Here is an 18,971-nt window from a genome sequence, read left to right as displayed (position 1 = left end):
GGCAACTAAGGACAGCCCAGGGATGACCCGCCAGGCAAACTGCCCTTGAGGCCAGCCGGGAGAGGAGTTCCTGTTCCACACTGGTTCAGCGGGTGTGTGTGCTGGGGCGGGTGTGTGTGCTGGGGCGGAGGGAGTGAGGAGCAGAGGTGTGGTTGTGTCTGAAGAGACTGAGAGAAACATTTTCCTCTCAACTATCTGAGAGCCATCCCACTATGAATTTCTCAGTACAAAAAGCATTATGTCCTGAGACAGCAGAGCATAAGTCCTTTTAATTATGTGTTTGAAAAATGTCACAAGTCAAAAAAGGAACACAAGGCAGGCTCCGGCTCCCTCCACCCCCGTGAGGAGCCCTTGTCCATTTCAGCCTTGCACTCAGAAAGACCCCGGGGGTCTTGTAGTTCCACGTGCTTCATGTTTCGTGGTATCTGTCAGAGCCTTAAAACAGGCCCACCCACTACTGTGAAATTTCAAGGAAATAACTGATTCAGTTAAATAACAGTCCCAAGGTAGACCTGGTCTCACAGGTGACCACCCGCTTAAATCCAGAGCCTTCTTTTCTGTCCAAAGCCACTGAAATTTGATCTCCTCCTTCACACATTCCCAGGTCCCCAATATGCCACCCACCTTCTGACAGGTGGCTACAGGTCTACACTAATGGAAGCTCTGCTAAAAACATCTCCACCCAACCCTCCTGCCAACGAGGTCAGCTGGCAGGCATCTGCTAAGCCCCTAAACTGGTCAGCGCAGGTTATGCGCCCATTCCGAGACCCAAACAATACTCCAGGACTTCGCACCTCCTCCTCGAGAGGCAACGGAGAGAACTGCTCTTACTTCAATCTGACAGTCAAGGGAGAGCACACAAATAAAACGTCCCATCTGGAAGAAATCAGGGAAGCTGGGGAAATGAGGCTGTTCATCAACTTTTAAGAGCTCAAACTTGGCTGTGTAACTTTCAGACCTAGCTTATGGTTGGGGACCACCTGAACTGGCCCCCAGGGTTGCCTCTCTCTCAACACAAGGTGCATACTGAACCCTTCTGCAGTGTAGTACACGTTGCTGCCGCAAGTGCAAAGGCCACGAGGGAAAGACCTTTTAACCAGAGCAAGGGGAATCTGAAATGCCAGAAGGGGGAAGGTCGGTTCGCCTGAAGACCTCTTCTGGCCTGTGTGGAAAGGACGGCCCCTTGTCAACCCTGGGGAAGCACTGCAGATGTGAAGCGGTTTGGCCACTCTTGGGCACTGACTGAGGGTGATGAACGAGGAAGGGAGCAAGAGCTGAAGGCGAGGAGAGCGCTAGGAGGCAGGGAACCTGGAGCCAGGGGCTGCCTGGCAGGGCTCTAGGCTGAAGCCCCCAAAGCGTAGTTCCCTTCACTGGCTCAAACATAAAAGGAACCAAACTGTTTGGGGAAAAAGGCCACCCTCTGGCCTTTCAAAACATTCTCTCACAATTCTATGCCATATGAGTGCAGGCTTAATTCGTCCAGTGAATTCTATGCAAATGTTTCAAGAAGCTGCTGTTAACAGGAACAATGTGTACCTGGTACACACTGATCCTATGGGGGTGGGAGGAGAGAGAGGGAAGGAAGCAAAGAGGAGCCGCCTCCCTTCCTACTGTGCTCTTCAGATCTGTCAGTGGGGCCGGGCGCAGCAGATGGCCCCCTCCCCAGAGGCAGGGGAGAGTCCTCCACCCCCTCTGCAGCCTCCAGGAGCATTCTGACTTCCACCAGCAGGCACTCCAGTTATTATGCATCTAGACATATGGATCTACACGAGGAACCCCCGGCGCAGCCAAGCTCTGCGCTGGCTCCCGCACAGGCGAAGCGCGCGCAGCAGCACAGGAGCCCCGCCCCTGCAGCTTGACGAGCTGAGCTGGGGTCCACAGGAACCACGCCCCAAGGAGCGTTTGGGGATGGTAGTGGGGAGACAGGCCATTGGCTTCCCCCTCTTTCTAAGGAAGTCAGCCTCACTCTACTCCTTGGGGATTTCGAACATGCAGAGGCTCTTGTACTTTTGCAGAAGCTCATTCTTGGTCCTGACTTGCTCCCGGAGGCTCTGCAGCTGCTGCTGCTGCTGTTCGGGGCTCAGGTGGATGCCGGGCATGGTGCTGATGAGCTTGCGCATCTCCTGGAACTTGCTTTTGAGGGCGTTCAGGTCCTGGTGGACCTCCGGGCTGTCCTTGTCCATGCTGTGGGGGAAGAACAGCTGTTAGCATTCACAGCTTGATACACGTCTTGGCGTTCCTGCCCTGCACCCCCTAGAGCTGGCTGTCATTCCTGCCATAGCTTTTAGAACACTTCGTTTTATGTGTCTATCCCCTGACTAGGCTGTCCACCCCCAGAGGGCAGGGACGGGTTCTTTTTTAGGCAGCTGGCACAGAGCTCCCAGGCCTAGCACACTTGCAGATCACACACAGACACTCTTGATCTTCTGTCAAGTCAACTGTCACTCTGAGGTCAAGGACCATGTCTGCCTGGTCACAGGTGTCTCCCTACCCCCGGCCCAGTGTGTAGGTCACTACAGGCACTCAAGAAATGTCCGTGGAAAGAATGAATGCTTAGCAAATAAGCTCATGAACATGTTGGTTCAATGAACAAACCAATACCAATATCAGGTGACAAATGCCAAACAAAACTTGTTGAAATACGACATTTTGTCTAACTGGAGCCATTTCTAGGCCAATCAGGAGGCTTTATCAGTTAGCAAGAGCTAATTTTAGCTGAGGTTTTGATGCTGGCTTGAACCTGTTAACATAAAGACTAATTTCCACAGAGCTGTTCATAAATGTTAGATTAGTTAAAATGGAACTGATTTAAATGTCTCAGCAGACACAGGCTCTCTTCTACCATGGTCATGGACAGTCCTTGTCTTTGAGTCAAGTTCACTTTCAAGGCAGACGGTTCGCTCCATCTCACAGCTATTAGCTGCACAGAGGTCCTACTCAATGAAAAACGAGGCAAGAACAATCTCACTTAAGATCAAAAAAACAGCCTGGCAGTTGCTCCTGTACATTTTTTGTTTGTTTGAGACAGGGTCTCACTCTGTCGCCCAGACTGGAGGGCAGTGGTGCGATCTCGGCTCACTGCAACCTCCACCTCCCGGGTCCCGGTTCAAGCAATTCTCCTGCCTCAGCCTCCTGAGTAGCTGGGATTACAGGCGCATGCCAACACGCCCGGATAATTTTTGTATTTTTAGTAGAGACAGGGTTTCACCATGTTGGCCAGGCTGGTCTTGAACTCCTGACCTCAGGTGATCCACCTGCCTCGGCCTCCCAAAGTGCTGGGATTACAGGCATGAGCCACCACACTCAGCTTCCTATACGTTTTTTAAAAGTTAGTAAGTGGATGAGCTTTTGAAAACAAGTGGTTGAGACCAAAACTAAAAGGCAATTCAGTAAGCTGTTCTGAAAGTAAGCCATTGAGGCATAAGAGGGAAAAACTGTCAATGATCATTAATTTTTTCAAATAAATGTTCATCCGTAGTGGGAAATTTCAACCCAGATGGTGCTAATTCATGTTTACTATTCATCATTTCTCTGCTTACGCAGGCAGAATATCCATCTTTCCTGGCGATCCATCAGTTACGTCTCACACCTTGCAAATCAGATGGCCACCATGGCCAGCTCAGTATTTACCAACAGCTCTAAACTCAGAGGGAGGGTATGGAGAATCAATCACTTCTTCCAGGAAATGAGAGGCCAGGAAATGATGCCCTCAACTGAGAGACACCATTAACAGTATACCTTATCGCAGATTCTAGAGAGGATGAACTGGTATTCATGAGAACTAAAAATCCTTTGGAAGGAAGCAAATAGGGAACGTCTTTTATTTTAATTCTTTGAAGTCTCAGCTCTGATCCACAAATGTGGACAGAAACCATCTGCACTTCTGAAATCCTTCTACTCGGATGGCATGCGTGTTAACATACCGTTACGAATTTAAGTCCCAAGGAAGTTTTAAAATTAAAATATAGTTTTTAAAAAAACCGACTCACATGAGTCTCAAAGGACATGGTAAAACAAACAAAAAAGTACTTAAAATAGAAATGTGGATGACAGATAATCCCATTCTTGAAGCAAACATAACCTGGCCCAAAAGAAAATTTAGTTCTGAAAGTTGAAAGTGGGTCATGTTTAAGATGCTCATCTCTGAAAACCCCCAAATAGCAAGGGTTGCGTGTTCTTTGGTGAACTTTCAGGAAAGGAGACAGTCTTCAGATAATAAAAAAGGAGCTGTAAGACAAGCCGCCTGGAGGGCAGCTGAGCCAAAAGGGGCCATGCAGCCCACAGGGAGGCCCCTCTGCAAGCCCAACTGCCCTAGTTGGTGGAGGTAAATAGCATGGAACTCCTGGAGTGAAGAGAACATGCTATTCAGAAGTGGGCATCTGCTAAGCCAGGATGACTGTGAAATATTCAAGCCAAAAGAAAAGGGACAGGACCAAATACCGAGTGAATAAAAGCAGAAAGCTCTAAGTGGGCCTACCTTTGTGTTCAAGGTTAGTCATCGGCCAACTATAGAAGGAATGAAAAAAGCCACTAGGTCAAGGAGGATGAACATCGTACAAACAAGGCAAGGTCAGAGCACTTTGGTCCCAACTACTGTGGTACTGTGGTTTCTTTTTTTCTTTTTTTTTTTTGAGACAGAGTTTTACTCGTTGCCCAGGCTGGAGTGCAATGGTGCGATCTTGGCTCACTGCAACCTCCGCCTCCCGGGTTCAAGTGATTCTCCTGCCTCGGCCTCCTGAGTAGCTGGGATTACAGGCATGCGCTACCACGCCCGGCTAATTTTGTATTTTTAGTAGAGATGGTGTTTCTCCACGTTGGCCAGGCTGGTCTCGAACTCCCGACCTCAGGTGATCCGCCCACCTCAACCTCCCAAAGTGCTGGGATTACAGGCGTAAGCCACCGCACCCAGCCCCCTACTATGGTTTTTTTAAAGAGTGGACAAAAATACTACCGCCAGGGGTGATCCTCTGAGCATCCTTCCCACGTCTGACAGACAGTTGTATCCGTGTCACCAGACTCAAAGGCAAACATCACAGGGTTTTAGGCAGGTGTCTGAGAATCATGCCCTGATTTTCTTTGTTCTTCTTTTTAGCATGGATGCTTTAGTACAGATGCAAACTGGCCAATAACTCTGCTAGAACCACTGACACAGACTTCCTCCCAAATCTGACAGTCATTTCTTTTGACCTTTTGGTGGCATCTGACTCAGTTTCCCATTTCTTCTTCCTCACAACTTCCATGCACTGTGCCTCACACTCCACTCTGTCCCAGCTGCCTTGCCCTCAGACCAGCCCTTACCAGTCCATTCCTCTGCCCACAGGCTCTCCTCGCACGGTACTAACTCCAGTGGCTTTCATTTTTCTAAGATCACTTTTTTAAAAAATGACAGTAATAGGTACTTGAGGGAAAAAATTCAAAAATGAGACAACCAAGGCTTAGAAAAGGGAAATCTCATTAACCCCTTGTTCCAGAGATAACCTCTGCTAACATGTGGTGTCCACTGTTTCAGATGGCTTTGAAATGTACAACAGCATACAAAACACACAAACTTTTCTTATTTGTTCTGACAGAAATGTGACCATCCATAGTTCTCATTCTTGCTTTTTCTACTTAACAAGGCACCTCAGATGTCCTTCCATGTTAACACATATACAATTAGACAGCGAAATTACCCTGGCTATTCATGGGTGGTTGTACTGTACTAGAATGACAGTGAACATCTTGTACTTATACCCTTATGTACTTGTGTGTCCGGAATTGGTGGGTTCTTGGTCTCACTGACTTCAAGAATGAGGCCACGGACCCTCACAGTGAGTGTTACAGCTCTTAAGGTGGCGCGTCTGAAGTCTGTCCCTTCTGATGTTCAGATGTGTTCGGAGTTTCTTCCTTCTGGTGGGTTCGTGGTCTCGCTGGCTCAGGAGGGAAGCTGCAGACCTTCGCGGTGTGCGTTACAGCTCTTAAGGCAGCATGTCTGGAGTTGTTCGTTCCTCCCGGTGGGCTCGTGGTCTCGCTGGGCTCAGGAGTGAAGCTGCAGATCTTCGCGGTGAGTGTTACAGCTCATAAAAGCAGCGTGGACCCAAAGAGTGAGCAGTGGCAAGATTTATTGCAAAGAGTGAAAGAACAAAGCTTCCACAGCATGGAAGGGGACCCAAGCGGGTTGCCACTGCTGGCTCCGGCAGCCTGCTTTTATTCTCTTATCTGGCCCCACCCACATCCTGCTGATTGGTAGAGCCGAGTGGCCTGTTTTGTCACGGCGCTGATTGGTGCATTTACAATCCCTGAGCTAGATACAAAGGTTCTCCCCGTCCCCATCAGATTAGTTAGATACAGTTTGGACACACAGGTTCTCCAAGGCCCCACCAGAGCAGCTAGATACAGAGTGTCGATTGGTGCATTCACAAACCTTGAGCTAAACACAGGGTGCTGATTGGTGTGTTTACAAACCTTGAGCTAGATACAGAGTGCCGATTGGTGTATTTACAATCCCTGAGCTAGACATAAAGGTTCTCCACGTCCCCACCAGAGCAGCTAGATACAGAGTGTAGATTGGTGCACTCACAAACCTTGAGCTAAACACAGGGTGCTGACTGGTGTATTTACAATCCCTGAGCTAGACATAAAGACTCTCCACGTCCCCACCAGACTCAGGAGCCCCGCTGGCTTCACCTAGTGGATCCCGCACCGGGGCTGCAGGTGGAGCTGCCTACCAGTCCTGCACGTACGCTTGCTTTCCTCAGCCCTTGGGTGGCTGATGGGACTGGGCGCCCTGGAGCAGGGGGTGGTGCTCGTCAGGGAGGCTGGGGCCGCACAGGAGCCCATGGAGTGGGTGGGAGGCTCAGGCATGGCGGGCTGCAGGTCCCGAGCCCTGCTGCGCGGGAAGGCAGCTAAGGCCTGGCGAGAAATCGAGCTTAGCGCCGGTGGGCTGGCACTGCTGGGGGACCCAGTACACCCTCCGCAGCTGCTGGCCCGGGTGCTAAGTCCCTCATTGCACGGGGCCAGCAGAGCTGGCCGGCTGCTCCGAGTGCGGGGCTTGCCAAGCCCACGCCCAGCCGGAACTCCAGCTGGCCCGCAAGCGCCGCACGCAGCCCTGGTTCCCGCTCGCGCCTCTCCCTCCACACCTCCCTGCAAGCTGAGAGAGTGGGCTCCAGCCTTGGCCAGCCCAGAAAGGGGCTCCCACAGTGCAGTGGTGGGCTGAAGGGCTCCTCAAGTGCTGCCAAAGTGGGAGCCCAGGCAGAGGAGGTGCCGAGAGCAAGTGAGGGCTCTGAGGACTGCCAGCACGCTGTCACCTCTCACTTGTGCAAGTATTTTGGTAAGATCATTTTCTAAAAGTAGGGATTCTGGGTCAAAGGTTATATATATTTAAATTTTTGACAGATATTACCAAAATGCCCTCCAAAAAAAAAACTGTACTGATGTAGATTATCTGTAGCCACGGAGGACACACTTCTCCATCCCGCCCTGGATGATACTGGCTACTACTTACCTATCAACTGTGTTTCTCTGCTCCAGTTCTGCCAAGACCTATGAGGCCTTCCGGAGAGGGAGGCCTTGAACTCACACCCTTGCTTTCATCTGCTAACAGCATTACATGTAAAAAATATTCTTTTTAGCAAAGAGTGACAAAAGGTGCTGCTGCTAAACGGAGTATGAAAATCACTGCACTACAAAATGCCCAGAACGTGTTCATCCACTCCCGAACCCTCGACACGGGGACCACCTCCCCAGTCAGCCTTCCTTCCTGTACTTGAGTTTCCTCCCTCCACAGTTACCAAGTCATTCCTGCCTGGAGTCTGGCAGATGGCAAATATCCAGCATAGACTTGCTGTCAGCAGGGGACGGGGGGAGGGTGCAGTCCCACCTACACACTCTACTGGCCACGCTAGGACCCCCAGGCTTGCACCTGTGTGCCCCCTTCTTCCAGCCACCATCCTGCCAGCTCCATCTCCTCTAGACCAGCCACCTCCCATTGCCACTGCCTTCCTGTGGACCCAGGTCCTCCCCTCTTCTGAAACACTTCTGCCCCACCTACCTTTAGAAACCCAAGTCTGAGCAGGTCACTATGCTGCTTAAAAATCCCAGATGGCGGCCGGTGGCTCACGCCTGTAATCCCAGCACTTTGGGAGGCTGAAGTCAGCAGATCACTTGAGGCCAGCCCCGTCTCTACTAAAAATACAAAAAAAAAATTTTTTTTTGTATTTTTACAAAGGCGTGGTGGCGTGTGCCTGTAGACAGAGACGAAACCCTGTCTCTACTAAAAATACAATTTTTTTTTGTTTTGTTTTTTACAAAGGCATGGTGGCGTGTGCCTGTAGTCCCAGCTACTTGGGAGGCTGAGGCACGGAAATCAAGTGATTCAAGTGAACCTGGGAGCCAGAGATTGCAGTGAGCCAAGACACGCCACTGTACTCCAGCCTGGGCGACAGAGTGAGACTCCATTTCAAAAATAAAAAATAAAATAAAATAATTCCAGATGGCCTCCTACCCACAGATAACACCTTTCAGGCAAATTCAAACTGTGAAGGAGACCCCCCCAGTGCCACCACAAGTGCTTCCAGCCTTCCTAGGCAAAGCTTCCCACCCTTCCCAGGACCCACGTAAATGCTTGCCTGGCATTTCTCACGCCCACTAAGGAAGTGCTGACTCGCGAAGGCCTGCCTTCGTGGGGCTTGCCTCTGCTGGGGCCCACCTTCTGGTTATAAGTCATACTGAGTGGATGGAAATGACATGGCAGAGGAGTGAAGAGGCTTTTAGGCAGACTGGAAACACCTCATCTGAGCAGTCTATGAACACCCCCTATCTGTGGCTGCTCATCCTGCTCCCTGGGGTGTGGCTGAGGGAGAAGAAAGTGAACGGCAGAGGCCTGCAGTAACTGCATGCGGACTATCCCCGGGAAGCCAGTGTGGGCACTTAGCGGGGGCCGCTTCCTGCACAACCCGGGAACGGGTCTCAGCTGGCATGGAAGGCCAGGGCAGATTAAAATAGATACTTGAGTGGGAAGAAGACAGTCAATAACACCCTGTTCCCACAAAAGAGGTCTGGCTGGGGCTCTGAGGTCTTGCTGACCTGCTGAAGCGGCCAGGCCAAGCTGGAGGGGCCAGACAGCGTGCTCATCACTTGAGCCCCATCTGTGGTGGCAAGGACGGCTCCCCTCTACCTACCTAGCAGCCTTAGACCTTGTAAAGAATTAAAACATTGAATTTAAAAAATGTTTTTAAAGTACCCAATGTCGACAGATTACTCTTACAAAGTGAGCCAAAACCATCACGCAAGGCAGCAACAACTGTAATTCAGAAGGCCTAGGCTGAGCTACTTCATTCCAAACTCAGATTCAAATTTGTTAAGTTTGAAGGAAAAAATAATAATTTTCCCCAATCTAACAGACCCCATTTCATTACTCCTTTATGATGCATTTTTAAAATGTAGCATCTATATATATCAAGAAAGTCTCAAAGTTGGGATTTATAATATTTCTTATAGGCATGAAAATGGGATTTCTTTTCCCTTTCCTCATTCTTTTTTTTTTTTTTGAGATGGAGTCTCGCTCTGTCGCCAGGCTGGAGTGCAATGGTGCGATCGTGGCTCACTGCAACCTCCGCCTCCCGGGTTCAAGCGATTCTCCTGCCTCAGCCTCCCTAGTAGCTGGGATTACAGGCGTGCACCACCACATCCAGCTAATTTTTGTATTTTTAGCAGAGACAGGGTTTCACCGTGTTGGCCAGGATGGTCTCGATCTCCTGACCTCGTGATCCACCCGCCTCGGCCTCCCAAAGTGCTGGGATTACAGGTGTGAGCCACCGTGCCCAGCCTCCCTTTCCTCATTCTTTAAAAATAACATAAATGTGTAGTTTAATTTTTCATTCAACTGCGGGAAAGACACTAGAAGAGATGAAAGTGCTATGGGTTCCAACTCCAAGCAGGGCTGTCCCAGCCAGAGCACTCCCAGAACCAGGTGGGTCCCTGGGGGTACAGGAGAGGCTCTGGTTCACAGGGCTCTGTGCAGCATTTCTGTGGGCACTTCTAGTGGAGGGGCTGGAGGGTCTGCCAGCCTGGAGGACTCCGCCCACCCAACAGCACCTGCAGCAAGAGGACCCTCTGTGGGCTTTGTGTTGGGTTATTCAGGCAGACAATCTGAAAATGGTCTGCAGAGATCCCTGAGTAAAGGCCTAAGTTTGGGCTCAATTTGAGAAGAATGGAGAACAAAGAAAAATTAGCCAAATAACATTCACAAGATAAAATAAGCATAAAGGCAAAGAGACTAATTAAATGCTGATTATAATACTCAAAAGCGAGGCTCAACGACCTGGCCAATGAGTAGTATCAACAGGCTTGGAAGTAAAGAAGCAGATTAAAGACGAAATGTTCCATTAACAAAAGCATCATGATCTAGCATCAGGCAGGCTGCTAGAAAACTCCACGGGAAAGGAAGGGCCAGGGAAATACTGACAAGAAAGAGGAAGGGTGAAAAATTAACCTTAAAAGATAATTAAATGTACCATGAAGATTTAAGAACTAAAATAGTTTGGTGCTGGAGAAGGAGAGAATGTCCATAAGTAGATCAGAAAACATGTGGGAATTCAGTGCATGGTAAAGGTGGCACTGCAAGCAGGGAAAATAACAAATATTCAAAAACAGCAGTGGGAAGATGTGGCTAACCGAGGCCCCCTTATTCTTCCCACCAAAATAAATTCCAGGAGCCTCAAAGAATTACAAGTAAAAAATGGAACCATGAAAGTTCTAGAAAAAAGAGATCAATACCTATAATTTTAGAGTGGGAAAGCCTTTCTAAGTAGGACCAAAACTCAGAAGCCATAAGGGAAAGGCCTAACAAATCTGACTACATGAAATTATATGCATCTGAATGAAAAACAAATAGAAAAACCATGACTATGAACAAAGTCAAAAGAAAAGCAACAACCTGGAGGAAGTATTTACAGTACATTTGACACACATTATTTCCTTTCTGTACATAAAAAAATCTAACAGAGAAATGGACAGTTTATAGGGAAAAATAAAAGTGACATATAAAATCGCCTATGAAGGGATGCTTTACCTAACTTAATGAAAGATCAATATATCATTTCTGACCTATGAGATTTGCCAAAGTTAAAAGTTTAATGGTGATGGCAGGTGATGGGGAAAGACACAAAAACTGTTGGTGGAAGCATAGATCAGGGCATTCTTTGCTCATAGTGACCCAAACAGATTCACATATCCCATTGCTAGAAATTTACCCCCACAGAGACTACCAAGAGTTCACCAAGATAGCATGGGCAAAGATGCTTGCTGCAGTGCTGATTCCAACAGCAAAATGCAGAAACAATGACGGTGTCCTTGAGCAAGAAACTGTTTACATAAACGACAGCACGTTCATAAAGTGGAATATTACACAGCTTTGCAAGGGAGCTGGGAGGAGTGAAGGGAGAGGCCCTGTTTCCATTTCATATCCATGGGTACTTGTAGAATCCGTCTACAACTTTAATTTTTGTTTAATGCTTTCTGGGTGGCAGATTTATAGGCCATTTTAGGTTAACTGAAGCAGTCTAGTCTACAAGGACTGAATTTTGGAAAAGAGTTAGCTAAAAAGACGTAGTGCTCTAAATTTAGCATAACTATCACTATAAAAAATGTTTGTACCCTATGCCCCAGCAATTCTACTGCTGGGATTTATCTGATCATAAACTTACTCCTACACAAAGATGCTAACCCCAGCACTGTGCTGGTAATAGCAAGAATAAGAAAAACAGCTAGAAGACCATCAACAGAAAACCAGTTCCATCAGTTATGCTGCATCCACAAGATGCAATTTTCTGCAGCTGCCTTAATGAGGTAGATCTTTATGTGCAGTATGGAAAGGTGGCCAAAAGAGACTAATCAGTGAAAAAAGTCAAGTACGACGTGATCTCAATTTGTATAAATTTTTGAAATGACATTCATATGTAATTCCCAGAAGGAACTTAGGAAAGTATTAACAGCAGTTACTACAGGTGAGGGGACTTGGGGGAAGGAACACATTTTCCATTTTACGTTTCTCTGTACTTCTAAACTTGCAGTTGTTACTTTTATTAAATAATTTTTCAAAAACTCTGAATTCTTTATGAGAACAAGAAAGGCTAAATTCACTACTTCAGATTTTACCTCCTTACTCACCCCTGTGCAAGAAGTAAACAAAGAATAAAAGGATCATTGGGGAAGTTATAGGAAAGGAAGGGACCCAGGGCCAGAGAGCGCCACCTGGGTGGACCGGACATGGTCCCAGCCCTCATCTCCACCCGCCAGTACTGTGTCTTGACTGGCTTCCAGCCTGACAGTTTCACTAGCTCCCCATCCCTCAGAAGACACCTGCACTCTGTTTCCTGGCTCTTCCCTCCTCCCCAGCCACCTCTTCCTGCCTTGGATGTATGCTCAACACCACCAAGCTAGAAGCTGACTCCCATGAGTAGATGCTATTTCTTGGCTTCGTGTCCTTACATGTTTTTCCTATACCAACATTCCTCCTGCCTCCCTTTCCTAATTGAAGACTCATTGTTGGCATCACTCTTACCAAGCCTTCTGACTCCCCCAGGCTTCACGAGGTCTCCTCTCCCTTCCTCCTCTGCCCTTATTCCTCCCTCATTTGCCTATAAACTCAAAGACACGCCTATACTGAAGGTTTGCAGGTTGGATCCTAGCCTCTTCTCATGTTTACAGCTGCAGAACCACTCCATTCCTTTGTGGCTACTGTTTCCTCCACGTGGCTTTTTCTGCTCTTCTGTCTTGTCTTTCTCTTTTTTCCTCTCTCTCTCTGTCTCCTCTCTTTCTTTCTTTCTTCTTTGAGACAGAGTCTATGTCACCCAGGCTGAAGTGTAGCAGTGCGATCATGGCTCACCGTAGCCTCAGCTCCCTGGGTTCAAGCTATCCTCCCATCTCAGCCTGCCCAGGTGCTGGGCTTGCAGACAGACATGAGGCACCGCGCCTGACCCGTGTCTTTCTTACCAGGGGGTTTCTTCCTATGCTTAGTGACCTTGGCCATCCACTCATATATTTAAGAATAAAACACTAAAAGGCTTAGTGGAAGCTCTGCAAATGAGTGATGCTTGTTCATTTTCTCAGAATTAATTGACTAGGCTTTTTTTTTTTCCAATGTCTTTTCTCTTAATTGGTCACGCACCATAGAGAGGGCACTTCCACTCTCTTTGGCTGCCAATCTAGAAGCCAGGTGGGGGAAGGCTCGGGTGGTGTCTCTCTTCAGACTGTGAACTTTCTCTTAATCCCTCTTTTCAGTATGGCTCCCCCTACCTACCCCTGCAGTGTGCCTGGTGTCCCACAGTCAAGGTACTCTCTGGCTTATTCCTTCCTAAGAATAAATCTCGGGAGAGTAACCTTTTAACCATCTGCCAAGTTGGAAGAAGGGTAGTCACCCGGCCGCTTGGAGGGGATGGGAGGTGGGACAGGACTGTGGGGACCTGCTTCTTAAACAGACTTCCAAGTAATCTTCCTGTTCTTAGACCCACCTTCACCCCTATTTCCAGGGGGTCCTTGCACTAGAGTTCCTGAGATCTGGGGATAGGCCATGGTTAACAAACCAGGTGCTTAGGAGTTGGTAGATGAATTAGCCCTGGTCATCCACTTTGTGGCAATCATCTCCTGTCCTATTCTTTTTGGTTTTATGCTTTTTATTTTTGACACAGGGTCTCATTCTGTCACCCATGCTAGAATGCAGTGGCATGATCTGGGTTCAAGTGATCCTCCCACTTCAGCCTCCCAAGTAGCCAGGACTGCAGGCACACACCACCATGCCTGGCTAATTTTTTTTGTATTTTTTGTAGGGACGGGGTTTTGCCATGTTGCCCAGGCTGGTCTTGAACTCCCAGGCTCAAGCGACCGGCTCGCCTCAGCCTCCTAAAGTGTTGGGATTACAGGCATGAACCACCATGTCTGAAGGTTTTATGCTTTTTTTTTTTTTTAAACTCCCTTCTCTGTCCTTTTAGATGGAACAGAGACAAGCACATGTGATCAACCCACTATGTTTCACAGGTACACTCCTGAGTACATCTCCCAACAATCCTATGACATAAGCATTCCCATTTCACAAGAGAAAAACAGGCTCAGAGAAGCTAAGCTACTTGCCAAGGTCACCCAGTCAGCACATTATAGAGCTATGACATAATCTGAACCTCTCTTTTGAGGTCCACTATGGACATATTAGAGATAAGAAGATTATGGCCTAGAAAGGTTAGGCATTTATATCAAGATTAGAAGGCAAGAAAATGTCAGTACACAGATTTGAACACAGGGCTGTCTAACTTCAAAGCCTGTTCTCTCTAGTATAACTTACTACTACATCTTTTAAGGCCAACCCAACCCAGCTGCTCTACCAGGGCTCAAGAATATACTCTTGGGGAGTTCAAGAGCTGTCCTTGTGAATGTGTACATTTTGTGTTTTCATTTTTCCACATTTTTCTTAAAACCAGTAAACTAGGGTTAATCAGAATAAACCCTTTATAATCCAGCACTGCCCTAGGATTACAGGGGCTCCATATGTATTTCTGTCTATGATCATTATCACAGGCTCACGAAAACTGAATAGGCTGCCTTATCCTATAAGCATTACTTTTTTTTTTTTTTTGAGGCAGAGTCTTGCTCTTGTTGCCCAGGCTGGAGTGCAATGGCATGATCTCGGCTCACTGCAACCTCCACCTCCCGGGTTCAAGTGATTCTCCTGCCTCAGCCTCCTGAGTAGCTGGGATTACAGGCAGCCGCCACCACACCCGGCTAATTTTTGTGTTTTTAGTAGAGATGGGGTTTTGCCATGTCGACGAGGCTGGTCTCAAACTCTGACCTCGTGATCCGCCCGCCTTGGCCTCCCAAAGTGCTGGGATTACAGGCATGAGACACCATGCCTGGCCCCTATAAACAGTATTTAAACACCAAGTGAAACCAAATGAAGCCAGGGTCTAATGTGAGAACAAAGCCTTTGTAGTTATTTGAAAAGTGGCAGAAGAGCATCAGGTCATCCCACAGCAAGTGAATCTAATTTGCTTAAACTCAAAAGTGGGTGGGCCACTAACAGTCAAGACCTTCACGTTGTAACAATTCCATTTCAGTAAAACAGTGAAGAGCACATTCATGTTCACCTGAATGTTACTGGAATCGTAATTTTCTTTTAATTTACTTTGTTTTGGTCTTTAATGGTTGAGTAAGAGTTACAAGCCTAGGGGTTTACACCTAGTATCACGTGGATATACAGTGAAGTAACATAATGAAAATAATTTACAGCCTGGGCAACATGGTGAAACTCCATCTCTACAAAAAATACAAAAATTCGCTGGGTGCCATGGCTCATGCCTGTGGTTCCGGTTACTTGGGAGGATGAGGTGGGAGGATGGCTTGAGGCCAGGAGGTTGAGGCTGCAGTGAGCCGAGATCACGCCACTGTACTCCAGTCTGGGTGACAGAGCGAGACCCTCTCTCAAAAAAAATAATAATTTAGGCAAACATAAGGATCAGTGAGACTTTTGTGTTTTTGTTTTTGGTTTTTCCTCTACAGAGTCACTTTGAAAACTCAGGCTACCCTGAAGGCTGGCCAAAAGGATGACAACAATTATTTCCTTTGGTACTGTTAGAACAAAGTCAGTACAAGTGGGTCTAATCATCTGAGGCAACTTCTGTGTTTCTGCTTAGTCTAATGTTTCCCATCGCCACCACTCCCGTCTCAATCTTTTTGAATTGTGGGTTATTCCCAATCATGTCTTTTTTTCCTTCTATCTAAACCTTTGGGGGTGAAAAGTTGGCCCCTTTTACTGCGTCCATCCCGTAGCACTTGGCACAGGGAAGATGATGCTTATCTGTTGAGTTTGCTGAACTAAGGAACTAAAGTGAGTATTACCAACATTAAAGGTGAGAAAACTGAGGCTTAAAGAGATTTAATTTGCTCAAGATCGCTGGGATGAACATTTGAGCCGCTGGACAAGAGTCTGCATTTAGTCTCTAAGCTGGCTTCATTCTTAAGGATATCGCACCTCTCGAGGCTCAAATCGTTTGCTTAACTCATGGAATGTCTCTGTGGTCTTGGGAAAGGCCTCTTCCCGCTCTGGGTCTGAGTTTCCCCATCTGTGAAACGGGGGCGTGCCCCAGAGCGCCAAGGCCTCTTGCAGCTCTGAAACGGCTGAGAGGAGAAGCTGGAGGGAGTATGGGGCCTGGTCCTCTCCTAGGTTCTTACCATTTGATGATGTTGTGAACCAAAGGTAAAAAGGAGTAGTTCTCTTCCTCCCTCGCGCGGGCAGGTGACTGAGGCCGTGGCGCCGGCGACTGCTGCGGTTGAGGCGCAGGGACCGGCGGCGGCTGAGGAGGCGGCAGCGGCTTGGTGTCAGGCAGCGGCTGGTCGGACGTTGGCGGCAATACATCCTCCGCCTGTCGCCCGGCTGCCACCCCAGCAGAGGCCATGGCTCCGGGGGTAGGTTAGCCAGAGGTCGGGTCGCCAAAAGCGTCGCGCACTCTACACGTCACCACCGCGCGCCCTGCAGGGGCGGGGTGTGGAGGAAGGCTCTGAGCGTGCGCACTGGGCAGTCGGCGGGAAAAGGCGCGGAGGCGGGGGTGGGGAGGCTGTTGCTAGGCAACGGGCCGTGGGTGGGTCTGGGGTGCCTGGATTTGGATTGTGAGTCAAGATTGCTAAATTATTAAATAGTGAGAAATAGGGGTTTATTTCAGAAATAACAATCTTTTTTTTTTTTTTGAGACGGAATTTCGCTCTTGTTGCCCAGGCTGGAGTGCAGTGGCGCGATCTCGGCTCACCGCAACCTCCGCCTCCCGGGTTCAAGCGATTCTCCTGCCTCAGCCTCCCTAGTAGCTGGGATTACAGGCATGCACCACCACGCCCGGCTAATTTTATATTTTTAGTAGAGACGGGGTTTCTCCATGTTGATCAGGCTGGTCTCGAACTCCCCACCTCAGGTGATCCGCCCGTCTCGGCCTCCCAAAGTGCTGGGATTACAGGCGTGAGCCACTGCACCCGGCCAGAAATAACAATCTTCTTATTCCTATTCACACGATGAAGAGGGCCCCAAAGCCACAAACACAGGAAGCCTTGAGATTAGTAAGGTGCAGCCTGGCCCAGTGCACCCAAGTCTGGAGAGGAGCCACTGGACCTGTGGGAGGCGTAGACAGCACTTACCTGCTGGGTGAGGCACCAAACCCGGCCCAGCCCACAGTGCAAGACATCGAGACCTCGAGTTTAGCCCTAAGGACGCAGAGGCAAAGGGATTGCGGTCCCTTCAATGCTGCAAGGTTGCTTAGAAAGAGTCTAATAATTCAACTCAACACACATTTAGTATGCACCTGCTGGATGGCCACCTGTATGTGTGGTTGCAGGCAGGCTGTCCTTGCTTTCAGTACAAGGTAGAGGGGATTGGTGCCAGGAGTAAATATCATATCCTGGAAGAACGACAAGGTCAGGTACTCTCCATACCTTCGGGCCAGTTCCCCAAGCCCCTAGGTCCCAGTTTCCTCACCCCTAAAATCATATTTAGTTCAGATTCATGGCACAGCCTAAACTGCATTCTAACTTCACATGCGTGGCTGACCCCAAAAGGTCTTGTTGGCATGAGGACTCCCTAGGATCATAGGCCAAAGATGGGTTTATGGTTATGCTTCTCAAAACAAGTTTGATATGAGGGCTGTGTAGTAATTTTCCGGGCAATGGGGACACCCACCCCAAGCTTAGCTAGTGAGTAGAAGACATGAGTGGGGAAAGCTGTCAACTGGTGAGCCCATTCTGCTGTAATCCACCATCATGGGCAGTACAGAGAGGCGAGGAGGTCCACATCCACATAGCATGATGAACAGGAGCCTTAAGAGCAAGGTGGCCAGGGAAAGGATCAATGCTGATATTTTCAGGCACATTGGGAGGGCTGTGCGGAGGCAGATCCTTGGGGAGTAGGACCATAGATGGAAGTGCTGTTGGAGGGTGCGCTGTACAGGTTCTGTAGTAAAGGGCCTCAGCACAGCTCTCTGCAGCAAGAGCTGCCCACGGTGCCCCAGAGAGAGAGCAAAGGGAGGGAGTGGGTTGCGGAGTTTTCTTCCTTCTAACCATTGACCTCTCCAACTAAGGGAAAGTTCAAGAGTTCTGGTTGAGCATGGAGGAGAAAAAGGCCAGATGTGCTTGAAGAGACTGTATACCCTTGGAGTCATCTGGGGAAAGATGATATAGTAATAGTAATAATAATAGTAATTACCACAACTACCATGGAGTAAAAGTAGATACAGGGAACAGAGTTACAGTCACTGTCTCAATCCACAGACAGAGGTCTAGAAGATGGATGTCAGGATCCCCATTTTCTAGATGAGAAAACCAAGACTTACAATGGTTAAGATCCCAGCCTAAGGGTCAACGCAGTTGCTGATGCCAAGTCTATGATCTTAACCAACACTAAAGAGACTTCGGATCCCTACCAGTTCTGTAACTTTATGATTCAAAATGTTAAAGTGGGTTTGAATTCAGAATTCAAAAACCAATCCAATATTCATCAATAATATCCCCATGGCAATCACACGTCATCTTTGCCCTCCCAGAGTGTTTTATAACTTAATTATGAGCCACAACTATATCATTGTCAGAAAAATGAGGATGCTTCTTAAAAGAAAAAACACTTGAGGTATAAATAGATATGGCTAAAGAAAACAGGTTGAAAACCTAGGAAGCATGAACCAGTATGGTGCATTGACAGTTTGCCCTAAAAATAGTTAATATAATTAGTGGCAAAGAGTAAAGCTGACTTCATAATGTTGCAAGCGGATGTCAGAAAAATACTGCCTGTGCTGGTTTCATTAAAGCTGAAATTGCCACAACAAATGTGTGTCTGTTTATAACCTGCTCTGTTAAAAGTCAGGAAAGACAGATGCTCCATTGATATGTAAGGACAATGTATTGTGGTGAAGGAAACTTCACCCCACCACAAGGGAAGCTCTAAGGTCATTGCTTTCTTAGGTGGATTTATG

The 18,971-nt window shown here is 48.0% G+C and overlaps 1 protein-coding gene across 1 annotated transcript, besides 1 other annotated feature; it reads right to left on the bottom strand.

Annotated features, from left to right (window-relative positions):
- MED9 (mediator complex subunit 9) lies at positions 242 to 16,463 on the bottom strand. Its single transcript, NM_018019.3, has 2 exons — positions 16,198 to 16,463; positions 242 to 2,184 (listed from the first exon to the last, which is right to left on the bottom strand). The coding sequence occupies exons 1-2, from the start codon at positions 16,419 to 16,421 to the stop codon at positions 1,968 to 1,970; spliced, it is 441 nt and encodes a 146-aa protein (NP_060489.1). The 5' UTR covers positions 16,422 to 16,463; the 3' UTR covers positions 242 to 1,967.
- Positions 16,360 to 16,459: an enhancer, noted in NCBI's record as "active region_11800". NCBI's record gives its function as "activates an Ori minimal core promoter by ATAC-STARR-seq in GM12878 lymphoblastoid cells {active_cell/tissue: GM12878}" and the evidence as "EXISTENCE:reporter gene assay evidence [ECO:0000049][PMID:35858748]".

The sequence above is a fragment of the Homo sapiens genome, chromosome 17 (genome assembly GCF_000001405.40).
Source record: "Homo sapiens chromosome 17, GRCh38.p14 Primary Assembly".
Lineage (NCBI taxonomy): Eukaryota > Metazoa > Chordata > Mammalia > Primates > Hominidae > Homo > Homo sapiens.
The sequence above is the reverse complement of the archived record's forward strand: the minus strand, read 5'-3'. Positions and strand labels throughout refer to the sequence as shown.